The sequence below is a fragment of the Homo sapiens genome, chromosome 10, assembly GCF_000001405.40.
Source record: "Homo sapiens chromosome 10, GRCh38.p14 Primary Assembly".
In the NCBI taxonomy this organism is placed as follows: Eukaryota; Metazoa; Chordata; class Mammalia; order Primates; family Hominidae; genus Homo; species Homo sapiens.
The window spans coordinates 13,120,572-13,141,538 of NC_000010.11; the positions used below are offsets into that span (position 1 = coordinate 13,120,572).

Sequence of the window (20,967 nt, forward strand, 5' to 3'; positions counted from 1 at the left end):
AAAAAAAAAAAAAAAGAATTTTGTAGTTTCATCTCTGACATTTAAGCCTGTGGTCCATTTTGAGTTTGTTTCTGTGTATGTTGTGATATAGGAGTTCAACTTCATTAGACTCTCAGTTCTGTTTCATTGATCTATGTTTGTCCTTACGCCAGTACCACAATGTCTTGAGTACTATAGCTTTGTAGTAAGTTTTGAAATCAGGAAGTGTATTAGCCCGTTTTCATACTTATATGAAGAACCGCCTGAGACTGGGTAATTTATAAAAGAAAGAGGTTTAACTGACTCACAGTTCAGCATGGCTAGGGAGGCCTTGGGAAACCTAACAAATCCTGGCGGAAAGCGAAGGGGAAGCAAGGCACCTTCTTCACAAGGTGGCAGAAAGGAGAAGGAACGCAGGAGGCACTACCACACACTTAGAAAACCATCAGATCTCATGAGAACTCACTCACTATCACGAGAACAGCATGGAGGAAACTGCCCCCGTGATTCAATTACCTCCACCTGGTCTCTCCCTTGACACATGGGGATTATGGGGATTACAATTCAAGATGAGATCTGGGTGGGGACAACAAAGCCTAACCATATGAGGAAGGAGTTAACTGTGAGCCAGCTCCTGCTGTGGCTAAGGGAAGGGAATCAGAAGGTGGAGAGACTTGAAATTGCACTCGAGAGATAGTGCCTTCCAACTTTGTTCTTCTTTTTAAAGACTGTTGGCTCTTCTGGGTTCTTTGCTGTTGCGTAAGAATTTTAGGATCAGCTTGTTAATTTGTGAAAAAAGCCAGCTGGGATCTTACTAGGGATTGCATTGTATCCCCAAATGATTTGGGGAGAATTGCTATCTCCAGGATTGTGTCATCGCAGAGATAGTCTTGCTGCTTCTTTTCCAGTCTGAATGCCTTTTATTTCTTTTTCTTGCCTGATTATCCTGTAAAAAAAAAAAAAAAAAAAAAAAAAAAGTGTTACATAGAAATGGAGAGAGCAGGCATCCTTGTCTTGTTCCTAATCTTAGGGGGAAAGCTAAGGCCCCACCTTTGTCATCACTTCAGAGGTTCCTGGTGTCACTCATGCTTGAGTGTCCTGGAGTTCCCACAGTGTGAATCTGGTTGCTTCTTGGCTGTCCCTACTGTTGGCTCAAAGGTCGGCCTTCTTGGGCTGGTAAGGCCCCACTCAGACCTGTACTGCCAAATTTTCCTACTATTATTTCCTCTCCCTTTTTCTTTGTTCCTGTAGGCACATGGCTTTTTGAAGGTCCTTTTAGTAGAGTTTGGGCTGGGAAAAAAATTGCATGCATCTGTTCAACCCATTATCTTTAACCACAGTCTCTTGTTTCATTTGGATTGGGACGGCTTTCCTGTGGTTATGATTTGGTGTTAAGAATGGTGTTACTTTTTTTGTTGTCGTTTATTCGGTGACTTTTAAACTTAGCTGTGTCCTAAAAGGAAAAGTCTTTCCTTCTCTAATGAATTCTTATGAATGAGATACCATGTTCATGGAACACACATGCATCCACATGTGTAAACACAAACAATTTCAAAAACATTGCTGCATAGGACAGTTGCATGGAAACAAATGGTGTTCAAGATGAGTTTCACTTGCCTTTTACCTCTGTGTGTATTTGTCTGTGAATCAATTCTAGCCAATTTTAGGATGAAAAATAAAACTAATGCTAATATAGTGAATGTGTAGAGATTTTGAAAACCCCTGATCCTTTATCCCAATTGTAAACAATGTTCTTTTTAGTACTTCTGTAATAATTGCTATTTCTCTTAAAGCCAAAGAGAAAGTAACTTTTCTATCTTCTGTGATTTTCCAGAGTTTCAGATTTTGAAAAGAAAACAAGTAATCGTTCTGAGATTGAAACCCAGACAGAGGGGAGCACAGAGAAAGAGAATGATGAAGAGAAAGGCCCGGAGACTGTGAGTCCTAAGATTCCACGGCCACTACCACACCCACACACACGAGAGTAGTCCAGCCACTGAATTCAAATCTTGTGATGGGTTATTTGCTTTAGAAATATAGAAATCATGTTGATATTGAATATTATCTATCTATTCCTTTTATATGTCCTTGTCCTGCTCTGTGTCAATTGTAGCGAGATGTATTTCTTTTTTGTTGTTGTTGTTGGAGATGGAGTCTCACTCTGTCGCCAGGCTGGAGTGCAGTGGCACGATCTCAGCTCACTGCAACCTCCGCCTCCCAGGTTCAAGCAGTTCTCCTGCCTCAGCCTCCCAAGTAGCTGGGATTACAGGTGCCCGTCACCACGCCTGGCTAATTTTTGTATTTTTAATACAGACAGGGTTTCACCATGTTGGCCAGGATGGTCTTGATCTCTTGACCTCGTGATCCTCCCACCTCGGCCTCCCAGAGTGCTGGGATTACAGATATGAGCCACTGCGCCCAGCTGCAAGATGTATTTCTATCAGTATTCTACAAAACGATTTCCTATGTCTCTTCTTGACTGATTTCTTCTCCTCGGTCCTTCAATGAACAAGCCTACTGTAGGAAAAGGAATGTTGTCCACTTTATAATGAGATCATTTGAGGATATGACTTAGAAACTTGAGGGAGAATTGAAAGATTTGGGTTCTATCCCATTACTGGTTTGAATAAAGTAGTTTGAAAGGAAAAGGTTCACTGTTGTCTTGTTCAGTGTTGTCTGGTAATTGAGAGAGGTGCCTTCGAGTCTGCAGAGAGTCTTCAGCTTTCGGAAGTTAATGAAGCCGTGAAGGTTGATAGCCATAGGGGCCCACGTGAAAGGCATTTACATAAAATATTCACTTTAGGTAATTAATTTATTCAACAAATATGTACATTGAATGCCTATTGTATGTCAGGAGACTGAGACCTTACTGTTGAAAGAAGAGAGAACATTTAGAAAACAGATGAAGAGACCACCAGTGAATAATAGTTCCCTGTTGACTAAAACGAATTCAACAGCCAGTAGCAGGGAAATATGGTCTTTCAAGGCATCAGAAACTCATTTACAAAAATTATAGAGCTGCCAGGAAAAAGGCTGCACAACAAAAATAGTTGAGTAAACTAGAAACATACACTGGGAAGAGAGTATGGGGGCAAGTTGTTAGCTGGATAGATAGGACTGTGCTTTGACACCTCTGTGGTCTATGATCTCTGAACCTGGAATAGGGTTCATTTTAATAGCGATAAAGTCATTATCCCAGTGCATCCAAATTGATTAGTTCATGCTTTATTAGGAAACAGAAGTTACCCAAAACTTAGCAAACCTAAGTACCAAGTATCCAAAACATTCTTTTCCTACACAATGTTTGGGGTATTGTCAAAGTTGGATTGATTCACCAGCCAGTCTTAATTGGCTACTAATGGTTCAGCCTGTTTTCTCCTAAAGAGGTTTGTTTAATGTCAGATGATAATTGTACAGATATGTTTGGGATTTCCCGTATGATAGGTTGGAAGCGAAGTGGAAGCACTGAACCTCCAGGTGACATCTCTGTTTAAGGAGCTTCAAGAGGCTCATACAAAACTCAGCGAAGCTGAGCTAATGAAGAAGAGACTTCAAGAAAAGTAAGAATGAGAGAGCAATTTTATCCTCCTTTGAAATATACATTTTTACAAAGTATACTACTATATAAAAACATAGTTTTTTAACTATGTTATGACTAAAAGAAAAATAGACACCTAATTAAAATATAAATTCAGAATATACTAATGTTCCAGTTAATGTGTGAGCATGAAATACTTGTAAGATGGGGGGTTGGGGACTGGAGAACTTTAATTCTGCCATTTAGGGGCATTTGTTAAATGTACGAGCCTGGGTAAGATCTCTACAGTAAAGCTGTGAGCTAGTTTTCCTGTTACTGACTTAAGCTGATGACATTGATGTGAGTAAGCATAAAGAAAGATGAAAAGAGCATAAAGATCTTGAGTGACATTTATTTGGAAAAAGGTCAATTTCAATTTGTTATTTCAATCAGTTAATTATTTCAGGCTAACATGTAGATTGAGCGTTTGGCATTTGCTTGTTTCTCTTGATGTAAGAAGTTACCCAAAACTTAGCAAACCTAAGTTGATGCTGTTCTATTGGATTCATTGGCAAACATGTTTCTAGCACAATACGGAGGTGTGTGTGTTTTCTTGAGGTTATAATTCCCAACACTCTGTAGAATTATGGTAACGTGATACAACATGGCAGCTACAACTAAGGACTTTGGACAAACAGACCTAGATTTAACATATGAGTCTGCAACTTATTTGTGTTGGGCAAGGTATTTATTTCAATTCTCTGAGCCTGTCTTGGCATTTGTAAATTGTGTGTTGTAATTTCTTCTATATACATTGTGTTAAATGATATGTCTAATGGGCTGGGCATTAATGCTTTGTGCATAGCTGTCATTTATTTGTATTATATTGAAATCCTCTTTCCGATCTTTAAGAAGACTTAGGGGAACTTCCTTTTTCCCTTATTGAATCTTTGTCAGAAACTAAAGTCTTTGCAATTGACAGAACCTATAACTTTTTTTTTAATATAAAAGATATCCACACATCACTACATGAGAAGCGCCTTAGCTAATTACTACTGTGGTCTGTGTTTAAATACTAAAAATGTATCTGTATGACTAGTTTAAACAATTATTCAAAGAGGACAGTACTGCATGTGAGCTTAGATCTGTACTTTTTTATGTTTAGGCGTAAGGGTTCAGAAATATGGCCAGGTCTAGTGAAGAAGCAAGGAGGATTATGTATTTCATTTTGCATTCATAAACCCTACAGCCCTAAAATTCTTATATTGTACATAACCTTGGGGTTTGTTTAAAAGCCACTGCGACGTAAAGGAGCATTGTTTATCCTCATGAAATCTTGACCTTTCTTAGGTGTCAGGCCCTTGAAAGGAAAAATTCTGCAATTCCATCAGAGTTGAATGAAAAGCAAGAGCTTGTTTATACTAACAAAAAGTTAGAGCTACAAGTGGAAAGCATGCTATCAGAAATCAAAATGGAACAGGCTAAAACAGAGGATGAAAAGTGAGTATGTTGAGTCAGAAGGGCAGCGACGGGGCAGAGGAGGGAGAATCGCCTTTTTATACAGATTGGAATTCGGATTTGAGAATAAATTTTAAAAAATTTCTTTTTCACTTATCTGAAGGAGTCCTAGCAGACCTCTCAGAGAGGGGGATAAAATTTAAAAGTTTTGTCATAATAAAATTATGCTGATTGTTTGCACTCTGTCTTGATTTTTCAGAAAAGATTTTTTTTGAGAGTAAGAAATGCTAGTAGGTCGTGGGGTGATAAAGGTAGGCGAGAAGATTTTTCTACTGGAGTGTTCAGAAGGTTGGGAGGCAAGACTATAAGTTTCTATGATATTTTCCCCAGGATTCCATTTTTTAATATCTTTTTTAATAGGTCCAAATTAACTGTGCTACAGATGACACACAACAAGCTTCTTCAAGAACATAATAATGCATTGAAAACAATTGAGGAACTAACAAGAAAAGAGGTATTCACTGAAAAAAATTACTTCCATAGCCTAGTAATGAACAGAAACTGTTGAACGTTTTGTATATAAAATAGTTACATGAATCCTTCACTAAATCTGGTTTCAAAGGTTGTTTTCCAATGTATCATTATTTCTTGCATCTAGGGTTTGTAACTTCTGATGTTCCACATATGTGTAATGTGCTTTATTGCGTACAAAGATGATGTGAATGTCCTATGGTCAGGGATTAAGCACTTCGTATTTCTTTTTTTTTTTTTTTGAGACGGAGTCTCGCTCTGTCGCCCAGGCTGGAGTGCAGTGGCGCGATCTCGGCTCACTGCAAGCTCCGCCTCCTGGGTTCACGCCATTCTCCTGCCTCAGCCTCCCGAGTAGCTGGGACTACAGGCGCCCGCCACCGCGCCCGGCTAATTTTTTGTATTTTTAGTAGAGACGGGGTTTCACCTTGTTAGCCAGGATGGTCTCGATCTCCTGACCTCGTGATCCACCCGCCTCGGCCTCCCAAAGTGCTGGGATTACAGGCGTGAGCCACCGCGCCCGGCCAGCACTTCGTATTTCTAAGGATAGGTTTGTAGGAGAGCTAAGAGCATGGGCTTCTATGGGTAGGAAGGGCCATCTGCTCTGGGGAATTGTGCAAGACCAGCGTGCCTGCTGTCAGTGAATTTGGGACCCTGGAATCATCAGCCTGCAGTTTAAATTCATAATAATGGACCAGGTGTGGTAGCTCATGCATGTAATCCCAGCACTTTGGGAGGCCAAGGCTGGAGGATCATTTGAACCCAGGAGTCTGAGACCAGCCTGGGCAACAGGGAGGCCCTATCTCTACAAAAAATAAAGAGTTAACCAAGTGTGATGTTCGTGCCTGCGGTCCCAGCTCCTTGGGAGGCTGAGGCAGGAGGATCACTTGAGCCTAGGAGGTCAAGGCTGCAGTGAGCTGTGATCACGCCACTGTACTCCAGCCTGTGACAGAGTGAGAACCTGTCTCTAAAAAAAGAAAACAATAAATAAATTAGTAATAATGCCAGCATGGTGTGATAGTTTAGAGACCACAGAAGCTTGTGAATTAGAAGGGATCTTTGAATTTTTAGCCTTGTAAATATACTCTTTGTTTTTCATTTATTTTCTTTTAAAGAGGAGGTTTTGCCATGTTGCCCAGAATGGTTTTGAACTCCTGAGCTTAGGCAATCCACGTGCCTCAGCCTCCCAAAGTGCTGGGATTACAGGTGTGAGCCATCATGCCCAGCAGTAGTGTTCCTCTCTTGGACCTAATAATTTTAAATTTAAAACATGTTTCTTCTTTTCCACTGACTGCAGGAAGTAACAAGTGGCAAAATAACAGTATCAACGAGTCACAGCCTTATTAACATTGGAGTTTGTTATTGTATCCCTGATTTCGGTGTTATCACCTTTTTTTTAGGAATTCATTATTTGCAAGCCACAACTTAAATACAACTTTCTGAATAAGTTAGCGTTGCTGATTAATAGACTGGTTAGAGCTGATACATTTTTTAGATCTCGCTATGTTGCCCAGGCTTGTCTCCCACTCCTGGGCTCAAACGATCCTCCCACCTCAGCCTCTCAATTCTAGGCATGAGCCACCACACCCGGCCAGAGCTGATAATTAAAAAAATAAACCTTTTTCTAATATTTTACTAAAACAGGCAGAATTATTTCAAAACCATTTCTAGAATAAATGTTTCTTTTTCAGTCAGAAAAAGTGGACAGGGCAGTGCTGAAGGAACTGAGTGAAAAACTGGAACTGGCAGAGAAGGCTCTGGCTTCCAAACAGCTGCAAATGGATGAAATGAAGCAAACCATTGCCAAGCAGGAAGAGGACCTGGAAACCATGACCATCCTCAGGGCTCAGGTGAGGCACCTTCCAAAACCCCAGCTGAGCGAGGCCAGCCCTGACTGTATTCTCGCATTGGAAAGCAATGGTGTTTAGAATGTTTGTAATTTTCTATTTTATATATTTTTTCACCCGTGAGTGTATTAAAACTTTAAAATTGAAACATTTGGAAAGTGCTCAGTGGATCTTATCTGTTCTACATTTAATAGGTAATTGGATTCTTTCCAGTTTGTGGCATTATGATTAACGTTGCTAAGACATTCCTGTGCATGTTGCTCTGTTCACATGTGGATATTTTATATTTCTGTTGGGTACACACCTAGGAGTGGAGTCGCTGGATCATAGGCTCTGCATGTTACTCACTTTTAACAGGTAATGCCAAACAGTTTTCCAGAGTGGTTGGACCAGTTTTCACTCCCATCAACAGAGAGTTTCCATGGCTCTACATCTTACCAACACTTCTATTATCAGTCATTTTCCTTTAACCACTCTGGAGGGTATATAGTGGTATCTCATTTAATTTGCATTTCCCTGATCACTAATGGGAAAGAGTACTTTTTCAAGTGTTTTTGGCCTTTGAGGTATCCTCTTTTGTGAAGTGCCTTATCAAGCCTGCCTTTTTTTTTTTTTTTTTTTTTTTTTTTTTTTTGGTTTGGTTTGCCTGGCATTTTTTTTGAGACAGAGTCTTGCTCTGTCGCCCAGGCTGGAGTACAGTGGTATGATCTCGGCTCATTGCAACCTCTGCCTCCTGGGTTCAGGTGATTCTCCTGCCTCAGCCTCCCATGTAGCTGGGACTACAGGCATGTGCCAACATGCCTGGCTAATTTTTGTATTTTTAGTAGAGATGGGGTTTCATCATGTTGGCCAGGCTGGTCTCAAACTCCTGACCTCAGGTGATCCACCCACTTCCACCTCCCAGAGTGCTGGGATTACAGGCATGAGCCACTGCGCCTGGCCTGGCTTTTTAAAAAAATGTAATGACTTCTATGTATACTGCACATACAAGTCTTTGTCAGTTATTTTTGCCTTTTCACTCTCATAAAGGTGTCATTTGAGGAACAAAAGTTCTTAGTTTTAAGGTAGTCCAGTATATCAGCCTTCTCATTTATGATTAGTACTTTTTGTGTCCTGTTTAAGAAACTTTTACTACCCCAAGGCCAGGAAGATATTCCCTCTGTTGTCTTCTAAAAATTTTGTTGTCTTACCTTTTACATTAAGATGTACAAACCATTTGAAATTGGCTTTTGTCTATAGAAAATGAGGTAAGGGTAAATATTTATTTTTTTCCTATATGAATATCCAGTTAACTTGGCACCATTTAAGCCATCTTTTCTTAAGTGCTCTGCTGCCCTCTTCATCATAACTTGTGTCCATATATGCATGGGTCTGTTTCTGGATTTTGTTCTATTTTATTGGTCTACTCATATATCTTTGCTCTGGTACCATGCTGTCTTATTATAAAGCATCAAACTTTTTTTTTTTTTTTGAGACAGAGTCTAGCTCTGTCACCAGGCTGGAGTGCAGTGGCACGATCTTGGCTCACTGCAACCTCCACCTCCCGGGTTCAAGCCATTCTCCTGCCTCAGCCTCCCAAGTAGCTGGGACTACAGGCGCACACCACCACGCTCAGCTAATTTTTGTATTTTTAGTAGAGATGGAGTTTCACCACGTTAGCCATGGTGGTCTCGAACAGTTGACCTCATGATCTGCCCAGCTGGGATTACGGGCGTGAGCCACCGTGCCTGGCCAGCATCCATTTGAATGGTTGGATCATGAGTTATGTCCATTTCTCAGTTAAATAAATATTACCAAGCTGTCTTCTAAAACTGCCTAACCAAAATTATACTCTCACCAAAAGATAAGCACTCCTATGTCCTCACATTCTTGCATTATTTTAAAAACCTTGGCCAATCTGATGAACATATTATTTTTAATATAATAATGTCAGCAGTTTGTTATTCCCTACATACAGACTCATTATCACCAGCTGCCCAGAGTGGCTGACCCCTGTGAAATGCAGCCAGTTGACTGGTACTTATAGCTTTAGTTTTATTTCTACAGGAATAGAGCCTCAACCTGCATTCTCAGCTCTTCAGAGCATTTCCTTGCTTGGGTAACTCATGTCATTGGGTTCTTCCACTCTGCTGCAGTCATGTATTTTTGCTCATTCTAGACATAGACATTTGTTTTCTCTTGATGGATACTCTTGCTCATTCATTCAATAACTTCTTTTTTGAGCACTTATAATATGTCAGAGACGGCCGGGCATGGTGGCTCACACCTGTAATCCCAGCACTTTGGGAGGCCGAGGCAGGCAGATTACAAGGTCAGGAGTTCGAGACCAACCTGGCCAATATGGTGAAACCCCGTCTCTACTAAAAATACAAAAATTAGCCGAGCGTGTTGGCGGGCACCTGTAGTCCCAGCTACTCGGGAGGCTGAGGCAGGAGAATTGCTTGAACCTGGGAGGCAGAGGTTGCAGTGAGCCGAGATCATGCCACTGCACTCCAGCCTGGGCGACAGAGCGAGACTCTATCTCAAAAAAAAAAAAAAAAAAAAAAAAAAAAATCAGACACTGTTCTTACTGCCTGGGATATAGGAATAGACAAAACAAAGACTCTGTTCTTACTGGCTCAAAGCTAGTAAGTGATAGAAGTGAGACTAAATCGAATTTAAGTCATACTCCAAAACACCCATGATCCACTGCCAACACTGTGAGATGCTGAACCACTCACATTGATAGGATATCCCTTAAAATGATCTCTTTATTACATACTTTTAAGTAACTATAGTTTTGATAGAATATTTAGATTTTTAATTTTACTTTTAAAATAATGGATAATAATTTATATCTCAGAACCAGCAAATTTGAAAAGAAAAAACTAATTTTAAACATAGAAAGTGAAAAATTAGTATTAAATTCCAATACCAATGGAACAGTTCACTCAATTAGCTGACAGCATTAAATATTAAAACACTATTAAGTGTTTTGTTATTTATAATTTTTTAAAAATTACTTAATTTTTAAAATGTTGTGTTGTTTTGTTTTTTGAGGCAGGGTCACACTCCTGTCACCCAGGCTGGAGTGCAGTCGCATGATCGTGGTTCACTGCAACCTCTATTTCCTGGGCTCAGGTGATCCTCGTGCCTCAGCCTCCCAAGTAGCTGGAACTACAAGTGCATGCCATCATGCCCAGCTGATTTTTTGTATTTTTAGTAGCGATGAGGTTTTGCCATGTTGCCCAGGCTGTCAGCAGGAGGCCTCAGTTCCTCACCATGTGGTCTCCTCCAGAGGGATGCTTGGGTGCCCTCATGTCATGGCAGCTGGCTTCCCCCAAAGCAAGTGATCCAACAGAGAGCAAGGAGTGACAGCGTCTTTTGTGACCTAGTCTCAGAAGCCGTACACCATCACTTCTGCGGCATCCTGGAGGTTACACAGGTTGGGTTTATTCATTGTGGGAGGGAAACATACAAGGTGATGAATACCAAGAGGCAAGGATCACTGGAGCCATCTTAGGAGGCTGGTGACCACACATGGGACATGGATTGAATATGGAAAAGTTCATGGGAAATGGTCTTCTGTCTGGTTCAAATGCTGATTTGGCCACTTAACAAATTTTCCCAAGATTAAGAGCCGTTAAGTTTGTAAAATGAGGATAGCCATTCTTTATTCTCAGGATATTTCATAAGGTAAAATAAGATAGTAAATGTAAAGCACCCAACATAGGACCTCACACATGTTTGGAATTTAACAAATAGCATCTATTTGTGATGATTATTCTTTTAAATTTAGCTTAAGACCAGCCTTCATAAATACACCTGGCAGAATCAATTTACTATATTAAGTAATCATTTACTATATTAAGTTGATCCTGAATTGTTTATTATCTAAAAGTCCAGATAATTTTGCTGAATTAATGGTACCTACAGTATTTAAACTACCTATATCAGTGCAGTTGCAGGATTTGTGTTGTTTAAAGCACACACACAAACACAGCTTGTATCTGCTATCGGAATGTACCTGGAAAGTCATGGTCATTATACTGTTTTCTAGCAGGATTGTGCATCTGTGATTCACAAGGGCTATTGAAGGATACAGCACTACCTCCTCATCGCATAAACACTGTAAGAATCTGCATTCATCTAGGTACTAACTTCTGTATCTTTTTTTCCTCTAACAGATGGAAGTTTACTGTTCTGATTTTCATGCTGAAAGAGCAGCGAGAGAGAAAATTCATGAGGAAAAGGAGCAACTGGCATTGCAGCTGGCAGTTCTGCTGAAAGAGAATGATGCTTTCGAAGACGGAGGCAGGTAAGGAAAAGAGAGAGGAGGACCCAGAGCTCACATCAGCATGGCCGTAGAAGAGGTGCCTGTCCAAAGACGTTCCTGATTTGAACTATAAGAATAGCTGTGTTCGCGCCACTGCACTCCTGCCTAGGTGACAGAGCGAGTCCCCTGTCTGAAAAATAAATAATAATAATAATAATTGCTTCACTTACACTTCATGTGATCATGTTCCCAACACTTAGTTTGTCTTACAGGAAAGCTTGACAGAGACTTGTGGGAGCTTGATCAAGCTCCTTGCTTTTAGATAAGCAAGGATTTTGATTTGATTTTAAAATGTTGTGTTGTTTTGTTTTGTTTTTTGAGGCAGGGTCTCACTCCTGTCACCCAGGCTGGAGTGCAGTGGCATGATCATGGTTCACTGCAGCCTCAACTTCCTGAGCTCAGGTGATCCTCGTGCCTCAGCCTCCCGAGTAGCTGGAACTACAAGTGCATGCCACCATGCACTTGTAACAATAATGTTACGTGTCCCAATGACCTATCTTGCCATCGTCACGGATGAAATATTCGTAGCACTTTAAATTCCTGAATATTCTTTAAAAAATACTAACAAAAATTACTTCTGACTTTTAGAAATTTATTTTGAGAAAGTTTTAAAACACAGCAAAATTCAGAGAATAAAATAACAGACTCTACTATGTACTCCTTCCTGCATTGACAACTGCTTTTATTTGCTTCAAGTATTTTTTTTTTATTAAAGGAAAAAGGGAGTTGTAGTTAGAATCAAAGTCTCCTTTGTTCCCCATCCATCATTATATTCCTTTCTTCTTTACCTTGTGCTGTTAGGAATTTGGTGGGTAGCTTCCCCATCTATTTTATACTTTTACATATCACATACACACTTACCTATATCATATCTCAAAACCAGATAATATTGATTTCTCTGTGTTTAAGTTACAAAATGATCACTGTAGGTATTGTTCTGCAGCTTACTTTACATAATATTATGATTTTGAGCTCTCTTGATATGTGCGGATGTAATTTATTATACTTCATTGCTGTATTTTGATTTATAAATATGCCACTTCTTTCTAATCTGTTTCCTACTGATGACAGTTTGGTTATTTCCTGATTTTTTTTAACTGTAATTATTTACTTTCACTAGTCTCCTAGTGCCAATAGTATTTAAAACTAAAATTAGTCTGGTTTTTATGAACCTTGGCAGTGTAGTTTGAGTCTTTTTTCCCCTACTTCTGTGGACTGTCTGCTCAGTGTTGTCATGTTTCGGGGTTGTAGAACATCACACAGCGTGTTGCTTTTCGTCCTGGCAGGCAGTCCTTGATGGAGATGCAGAGTCGTCATGGGGCGAGAACAAGTGACTCTGACCAGCAGGCTTACCTTGTTCAAAGAGGTGAGTCCCGTGTGATCCTGGATTTTCAGGAAATAGCTATCCTATGAAAAAGATGCTTGAAGAAAAATTCCACTTCATTCTCTACAATGGATTCCAAATCAAGGCACCAAAAATATAGCACCCGTCAGTCTCATTACCACAGCACTCCCATCTCCATCCATTACCCACCGAATCCAGACCAGACCCTTCACCCTGCCAGAAGGTGCCTGGCACGGCCACACTTTTTCTTTTTTTTCTTTTTTTTTGAGACAGAATTTCGCTGTGTCGTCCAGGCTGGAGTGCAGTGGCGAGATCTCGGCTCACTGCAACCTCCACTTCCTGTGTTCAAACGGTTCTCCTTCCACAGCCTCCCGAGTGGCTGGAATTACAGGCGTGCACCGCCACACCCAGCTAATTTTTGTATTTTTAATAGAGATGGGGTTTCACCGTGTTGGCCAGGCTGGTCTCGAACTCCTGACCTCAACTAACCTGCCTGTCTCGGTCTCCCAAAGTACCGGGATTACAGGCGCAAGCCACTGTACCCGGCCTACAGCCACACTTTTAAACCGTGTCTCCCTCTGTTCTCTTACAGACATTAGCCAGACTGAATCATCCCCTTGAACTTGTCCTAAGCTTGTATTTGCTTGTATTATGCCCTTCACAGAGACGCCCTTTTCTTATGCATATTCCTGTCTTCCTCCAGTCTCTTTCCAGTGACCTCTTACCCCATCTTTAAAATCTATTTCAAACTCCATCTCCATGAACTGTTTCCATTTTGAACTTCCAAAGTACTTTATTCCTCTATGTTGGTACCTGTCTGCTATTTTATAGGTGTTTGTGTGTTCTAGGTAGATACTTAAGTACTTTATTTTTATTTCTATTTTTATTTTGAGACAGGGTCCCACTCTCTTGCCCAGGCTGGAGTGCAGTGGCATGATCGTGGATCACTGCAACCTCCGCCTCCCGGGTTCAAGCGATTCTCCTGGCTCAGCCTCCCAAGTAGCTAGGACTACAGGTGCACGCCACCACGCCTGGCTAATTTATTTTAGTAGAGACAGGGTTTCACCATGTTGGCCAGGCTGGTCTCAAATTCCTGACCCCAGGAGATCTGCCCACGTCGGCCTCCCAAAGTGCTGGGATTACAGGCGTGAGCCACCACGCCCGGCTAATTTGTATTTTCAGTAGAGACAGCGTTTCACCATGTTGGCCAGGCTGGTCTCAAACTCCTGACCTCAGGTGACCCACCCACCCAGGAGAGGTCTCCTAGAACAGAATGTACCTTCTCAGAAGCAGAGGCAATGGTCTCATTTATTCAGCAGATACTTTTGAGTCCTCCAGGATGTGCAAGAGGTACTGCTTATGCTGGGAGTCAGAGAGCAAAGGCAGCCCCGGATGCTGACCCCTCTTCTCTGGCAATGGGGTGATTAGAAAGCTCCCTGCTTTGGAAACCATGCTTTATGATCAATACATACCTCTTCAGAAATGCTTCTTAAGGCTGCTGAACACAATCTCAAATATTCATACATGTTACTACATCCAAGTAATGTACTTAGAAGCAAATAAAGGTTGCCTCCAAAAACAAACATTTTGAGAGCCAAACCAAAGTCTAGGCTGAGTCCAAAAAACCAAGACGGTTTGCATTGGTCCAGAAAGGTCAGAACAGAGAGATGCCCGGGAGCCAGAAATAATTTCTTGCATCCATCACAGTTTGTATGGATCCAGGACCTAGCTAGGGTCAGGGCTTATTTCGAACATGCTCTGATTGAGGCTTGAACCTCAGTACTACTCCAAAACTGGGGGAAATGATAGGGTGCATTCTTCCATCATTCCTCCTTGTTAACTTTATGTAGATAACTCCTGTTCATTCTCAAGGCCCCTCTCAAGTTAATTGGTCGCATCTAGGAGGCCTTTCTGCACCAAGATCTAAACTAGGGGCCCTTCCCTTTCTCCCATGGACACCCTTGCACCTAACACTCACCTGGCCTAACACTCGTGCCTAACACTTTTGCCACGCCACTGCTGCCACATCTCTCACCTGGCTTCTCCACCACGTCTGTCTCCCGGCACACAGCAGTGTCTTTATACATCCCAGAGGATTCAAAAGTGTCTGCTGAACAAATGAGATGATTGCCTCTGCTTCTGGGAAGGTACACTCTGTTCTAGGAGACCTCTCCTGGGCTCTGTGGATTTCTTTCTCCACATTCCCTTCCTCTTTTGCTTATATCCTCATTCATCCCTTTTCTTCTCGCAGATATCCTAGTATTTACTAGAACATGCATTGTCCTGTACCTAGAACTGAAACCATGTATTTTCGCATACCTTGAAACTGGGATACAGTTTAAATCCTAAAAGAATGCACCAATGCACCTGTAATCCCAGTACATGGGAGGCTGAGATGGAAGGATCAGTTGAGACCAGGAGTTCAGAACCAGCCTGGGCAACATAGTGAGATCCCATCCCTACAAAAATTTTAAAAACTAGCCAGGTGTGGTGGCACGTGCCTGTAGTCGCAGCTATTCAGGAGGCCGAGGCAGGAGGGTCACTGGATCCCAGGAGTTAGAGGCTGCAGTGAGCTATGATTGTGCCACTGCACTCTAGCCTGGGAGAAAGAGCGAGACTCCATCTGTCAAGAAAAAAAAGTAAAGAAAAGAAAAAAATCCTAAAACAGGCCAGGCGCAGTGGCTCATGCCAGTAATCCTAGCACTTTGGGAGGCCAAGGTGGGCAGATCATGAGGTCAGGAGTTCGAGACCAGTCTGGCCAACATGGCAAAACCACATCTCTACTAAAAATACAAAAATTAGCTGGGCGTGGTGGCGCGCACCTGTGATCCCAGCTACTCAGGAGGCCAAAGCAGGAGGATCACTTGAACCTGGGAGGCGGAGGTTGCAGTGAGCCAAGATCGTGCCACTGCCCTCCAGCCTGGGTGACAGCGAGACTCCGTCTCAAAAAAAAAAAAAAAAAAAAAAAATCCTAAAATAATAGGGAAGCAGGTATCACTTGGAGAGATTTTTCTCTATGTGCATCGTGATGACTTCAGTTAAAGACCAAACACCTGTGCTCATGTCCCACTACGTGTTGAATACGAAGTTGAACTGATGTTAAAACTCGCCATCTGTTCTTCAAGTGAAACAAACACAACTGCCTGCAAAATGGAACTAATGGAATTATCATACTTATTCCCAGGAGCTGAGGACAGGGACTGGCGGCAACAGCGGAATATTCCGATTCATTCCTGCCCCAAGTGTGGAGAGGTTCTGCCTGACATAGACACGTTACAGATTCACGTGATGGATTGCATCATTTAAGTGTTGATGTATCACCTCCCCAAAACTGTTGGTAAATGTCAGATTTTTTCCTCCAAGAGTTGTGCTTTTGTGTTATTTGTTTTCACTCAAATATTTTGCCTCATTATTCTTGTTTTAAAAGAAAGAAAACAGGCCGGGCACAGTGGCTCATGCCTGTAATCCCAGCACTTTGGGAGGTCGAGGTGGGTGGATCACTTGGGGTCAGGGTTTGAGACCAGCCTGGCCAACATGGCGGAACCCTGTCTCTACCAAAATTACAAAAATTAGCCGAGCATGGTGGCGCATGCCTGTAGTCGCAGCTACTCGCGAGGTTGAGGCAGGAGAATTGCTTGAACCCAGGAAGTGGCAGTTGCAGTGAGCCGAGACGACACCACTGCACTCCAGCCTGGGTGACAGAGGGAGACTCTGTCTCGAAAGAAAGAAAGAAAAAAAGGAAGGAAGGAGAAGGAAGGAAGGAGAAGAAAAGGTACCTGTTCTACGTAGAACACCTTTGGTGGAGTTCCATCAACTCGCAAAGTAGAATCCTTACCTACTACTCTTCTGATAATAATTTTAATATTTTTTATGTTTGGTTGATGCGAGCAGCTGCACTGCTCATGCAGTTAGCTAGCATGTGACATCATGTGACAAAGTTCATGTAATTAGATGGAAGAAACCTCACTGATTAATTTTAAGAACCTTTTAGGGATGCAGGAACAATGAAGTGGCCACAGTATGTGCTGTTTTTGAAGCATTTTTAAAAACGAATTGTAGTTGTTTTTCTTCATTTAAAATGGATCTGTTGGAGGTTATGTGTGTATGTTGTAGTTTTATTGCAGCCACAATAATTTTACCAAAGTTTTCACATAGGCAGTTAGCCTTTACTTAATATCAAGACAAGTGAAAAAATATTGGCATCGATGAAACCGATAACATTGGCCTCATTGGATTTCTTTACCCATTCACAGTGTAAAGAAGTTACCTTCATGCTTTCATTGTACCTGCAGGCCTGTGGGCTTGTACAGTAGATAATTAATTTCTAAAAAGAACAGCTGCCTATTTTCTTCCTAGGTTAGGTTATATCTTCATAATCACAAGAATTAGTGATGGCAAAATAAAATTTTGCTTATGAATCTTTTACATTGTTTATATATGATTAATATCATCATATATATTTTCTGTATTAAGCTCATTTGGCTTCATTTAAGCTGTATACTTAGTCATATATCTTTCATTAGTTCTATGGATATGAGCAGATCCCTTTACTGGAGCCCAGTATGTGCTGTGTGAGTTAGAAGTCATTCTTGCTGAGAAGGTGAATAGGTAGGGATTTGCCTTGTTTTGTAAGTCTACAATTTGCCAAGAGTAAATAACACTGGACCAGCTGTAAAAGTAAACAGTGTGTTTATGCATTGAGATACTAAAGCATTTAAGAAAAAATTAAAAGATCTCTTTTGTTTAAATTTGTCTTAAGAATCTCTCCTAGACAAACTTGACTATACACACACACACTTCAATAAGAATCAAAATAGTTCATTATATCTTCATGCCAAGAGAACACATGATACAAATTCAACAGTAATTTCAATTAAACGAGTCCCCTACCACACCTCAGGGAGAATATTTGTTAAAGACATTTCTAAAGTAACTCTGACATTTTTACTTTTCTTTGTTATGGTTTCTAATGTAAATTTTTTCCCTTATCATCTTATACTGGAGGAAATATATTTCTATAGTCTCCTAAACAGAGAAGGAAACCAAATGGTTTCACATTTAAAGTTATTGGACATAATCCTTTTACTTTGTTCAAGTAAAAATATTCAGCAAAGCCAGACTGAAATAATAACATGAATGGGCTTATTAAGCTTGTGACCAAATCGTTTGTTTAATAGTTGGAAGAATTACAAATGAAGGCCATTTCACGTAGTCAGTTTAAATTAAGGCTGTTGTTTCCAGCTTGGTAAATAGCTTATAAACTCTGTGCACATCTTACCTCATTTATTTATTCTAATATCCCTTCAAAGGCTCTGTTCCATGTGACCAGTTAACTATACCTCCTAGGAATTTTGTGTCTGTAAAAATACATAGTTGAAGATTGCACTCTTAACAGGTTTACGACTATCCTGGATAGTATTGTTAACTGTGTGCACATTGTTGTAGAGCAGATCTCTAGAACTTTTTCATCCTGCGTGAATGAAACTCTACACCCATTCAACTGCAGCCCCCATTCTCCCCTCCCCAGTCCCCGGCAACCACCACTCTCCTTTCTGCTTCTGAGTTTCACATACCTCCTATAAGTGGGATTACATAGTATTTTTCCTTCTGTAACTGGCTTATTTCATTTAACATACCTCCCTCATTCAAACCATAACTTCCTGGATGAAGGTTTCAGGCAAAAGCACCTGGGAAACCAGGCCTTTGCTACTCATTTACCCCCCATTCCCCACCCCACCCCCCGCCCCAGTCCCGTGCCTCCACCTGCTGAGCACCGTTCCATTTGCCGATGCTCTCATGTTACCCTGGGAGACATAAGGTAGAAGAGCCATGGGGACTCTGCTCGAGGGTGGTATAAGGCATTTGAAACTAAGCCTCTTCATTAACCCAATCCATATCACAGAGAGGCAGCATGGGTGCCCCTAGCCCAATGGCCGGGCTATTTGCTACTGCAATAATAGGTTTCTTATAAACCGTCAGCCTCCTGAGTAGCTGGCACCACAGGGACACCACAGGCTATTTTTTAAAAAAATTTATGTAGAAATGGATTCTCACTGTGTTTCTCAGGCTAGTCTCAAATTTCTAGGCTCAAGCAGTCCTCCCGCCTCAGCCTCCCAAAGTGCTAGGATTATTGGTGTGAGAGGAATCCCTTTCAACCCTTGAAAATAAATCAAGCGGTGATGAACTCCCTGAGCTTATATTTGCCTAGGAAGGTCTTTATTTCTCTTTCATTTTTGAAGGACAGTTTGGCTGGACATAGTATGTCTTATTTGGCAGTTTGTCCCCTTCTGCACTGTGAATATATTATGTCAGTCCCTTCTGGCCATCTGGCAAGGTTTCTGCTATGAAATCCACTGTTTTATGAAGGATCTCTTGTTCATGACAAGTTGCTTTTTGATTTTAAAATGACTCAATGTGGATGTCTTTGGGTTCATTCTAGTTGGAGTCCTTTGGAATTCTCGAATCTGGATGTCTATTTTCTACCCCAGATTTGGGAAATTTTGAGCCATTATTTTTTTTAAAGAAGCTTTCTGTCCCTTTTTGTATTTCTTCTTAAATTCCCATAGTGTTTATATTGGTCCACTTAATGGTGTCCCAGAAGTTCCTTAGACTTTCATCATTTTAAAATTATTTTCCCTTTTTGATCCACTGACTGGATAATTTCAAATAACCTCTGAGTTCATTCTTTCTTCTGCTTTATCAAATCTGCTGTTGAACCCCTCTAATAAATTTTTCAATTTATTTTATTCTTCACTGCCAACATTTCTGTTTGGTTCTTTTTTATACTCTCTCTGTTGATATTCTCATTTTGTTCATACATCGTTTTCCTGAGCTCACTGAACATCTTTTGAATTTTTTTTCAGGTAAGTCATATACCTCTAGTTCTTGGGGTCAGTCTCTAGAGATTTCATTTGCCTCTTTGGGCCATATTTTCATATGTTTCTTCATGTGTCTTGTGATTTTGTGTCGGGATCCATGTATTTGAAAAACAACTCTGTCTTCCAGTCTTTAAGGACTGGCTTCATACAGGGAAAGATCTTTTCCAATCATCTTGGCTAGAGATTCTGAGATCTCCCAGACCTCTTCCATAGATACATCCCCCCAGACCTGTGCATGCAAATGTTCAATTAGATTTGCTAGTCTCGTTTTTCACAATCTGCAGCCTCTTGTTCCTTCCAGTGTCTGCCTGCAGCCCTGCATATTCCCTGGAGCTGCCACAAGCCATCCAGCACTCCTTATCTTATTCTCAGCAGCCTCTAGGTCTCTCTCTAGAGCATTCTGGGTTCTGTCAAAACTCTTTAAGTTGGGCGAGATAGAACCAGTTCCCTGGGCAGCCCCTTAAAAGCCAGAACATTTGAAACACACTCCACTAGTCTCTTTCCCTCCACAAGGGAGAGGCTGGCTGAGCTGTATTAACCTCTGTATGCTGCACCATGAGTCCTGGAGCAGTAGCAGGTCAGGTCACCCAGCTCTCTCTCTTTCCCAGTGTCCTCCAGGCATCTAGAGTATGCTGTGTTCCATCAGCACTCCAAGACAAAGCAGAAACGAGTCCCTCAGACAGCCTCCCAAAAGGGCAGAATGTTGGACACACTTTGCTCTTCTCTTTTCCCCTGTATAGGAGAGGCCGCCAAGATGTATTGGCCTCTGTTGGACTGCAGATCCTCTACAGCAGCAGCAAGCTGCCATGCTTTTGTTCTCAGTAGTCCCCAGGCATCTATGGTATATCAAGCCTTTCAATGCTCAAGACAAGAGAAACAGTCCCCTGGGAAGCCCCCTGAAAAACTGGAAATTGGATTCAGGCTCCAACTCTCTCCCTCCCCAGGGAAAGGCAAGAGCCAGGTGTTTTCTCCCACTTGTTTCACACTGAGCTGGGGCAATGGGTATGGTGACAGAGTACATGCCAATCCCAGTCTCCTCTTTTGTTCTGAGTGGTCCCTAGACTGATACCCTTTTCAGTCAGTTCCTAAATTCAGGCAAG

General features: G+C 41.3%; 1 protein-coding gene across 4 annotated transcripts in view; it reads left to right on the plus strand.

Annotated features, from left to right (window-relative positions):
• Positions 1–17,737, plus strand: part of OPTN (optineurin) — a 38,227-nt gene extending 20,490 nt beyond the window's left edge. For 3 of the 4 annotated variants that reach the window (NM_001008211.1, NM_001008213.1, NM_021980.4), the window contains 8 exons: positions 1,814–1,916; positions 3,424–3,539; positions 4,847–4,996; positions 5,375–5,468; positions 7,174–7,332; positions 11,496–11,626; positions 12,931–13,010; positions 16,174–17,705. In NM_001008211.1, coding sequence (NP_001008212.1) covers positions 1,814–1,916; positions 3,424–3,539; positions 4,847–4,996; positions 5,375–5,468; positions 7,174–7,332; positions 11,496–11,626; positions 12,931–13,010; positions 16,174–16,295 — 955 coding nt within the window. In that variant the 3' untranslated portion in view covers positions 16,296–17,705. Of the gene's footprint in view, positions 1–1,813; positions 1,917–3,423; positions 3,540–4,846; positions 4,997–5,374; positions 5,469–7,173; positions 7,333–11,495; positions 11,627–12,930; positions 13,011–16,173 lie in introns of all 4 variants that reach the window. The other variant, NM_001008212.2, reaches the window with a different exon arrangement.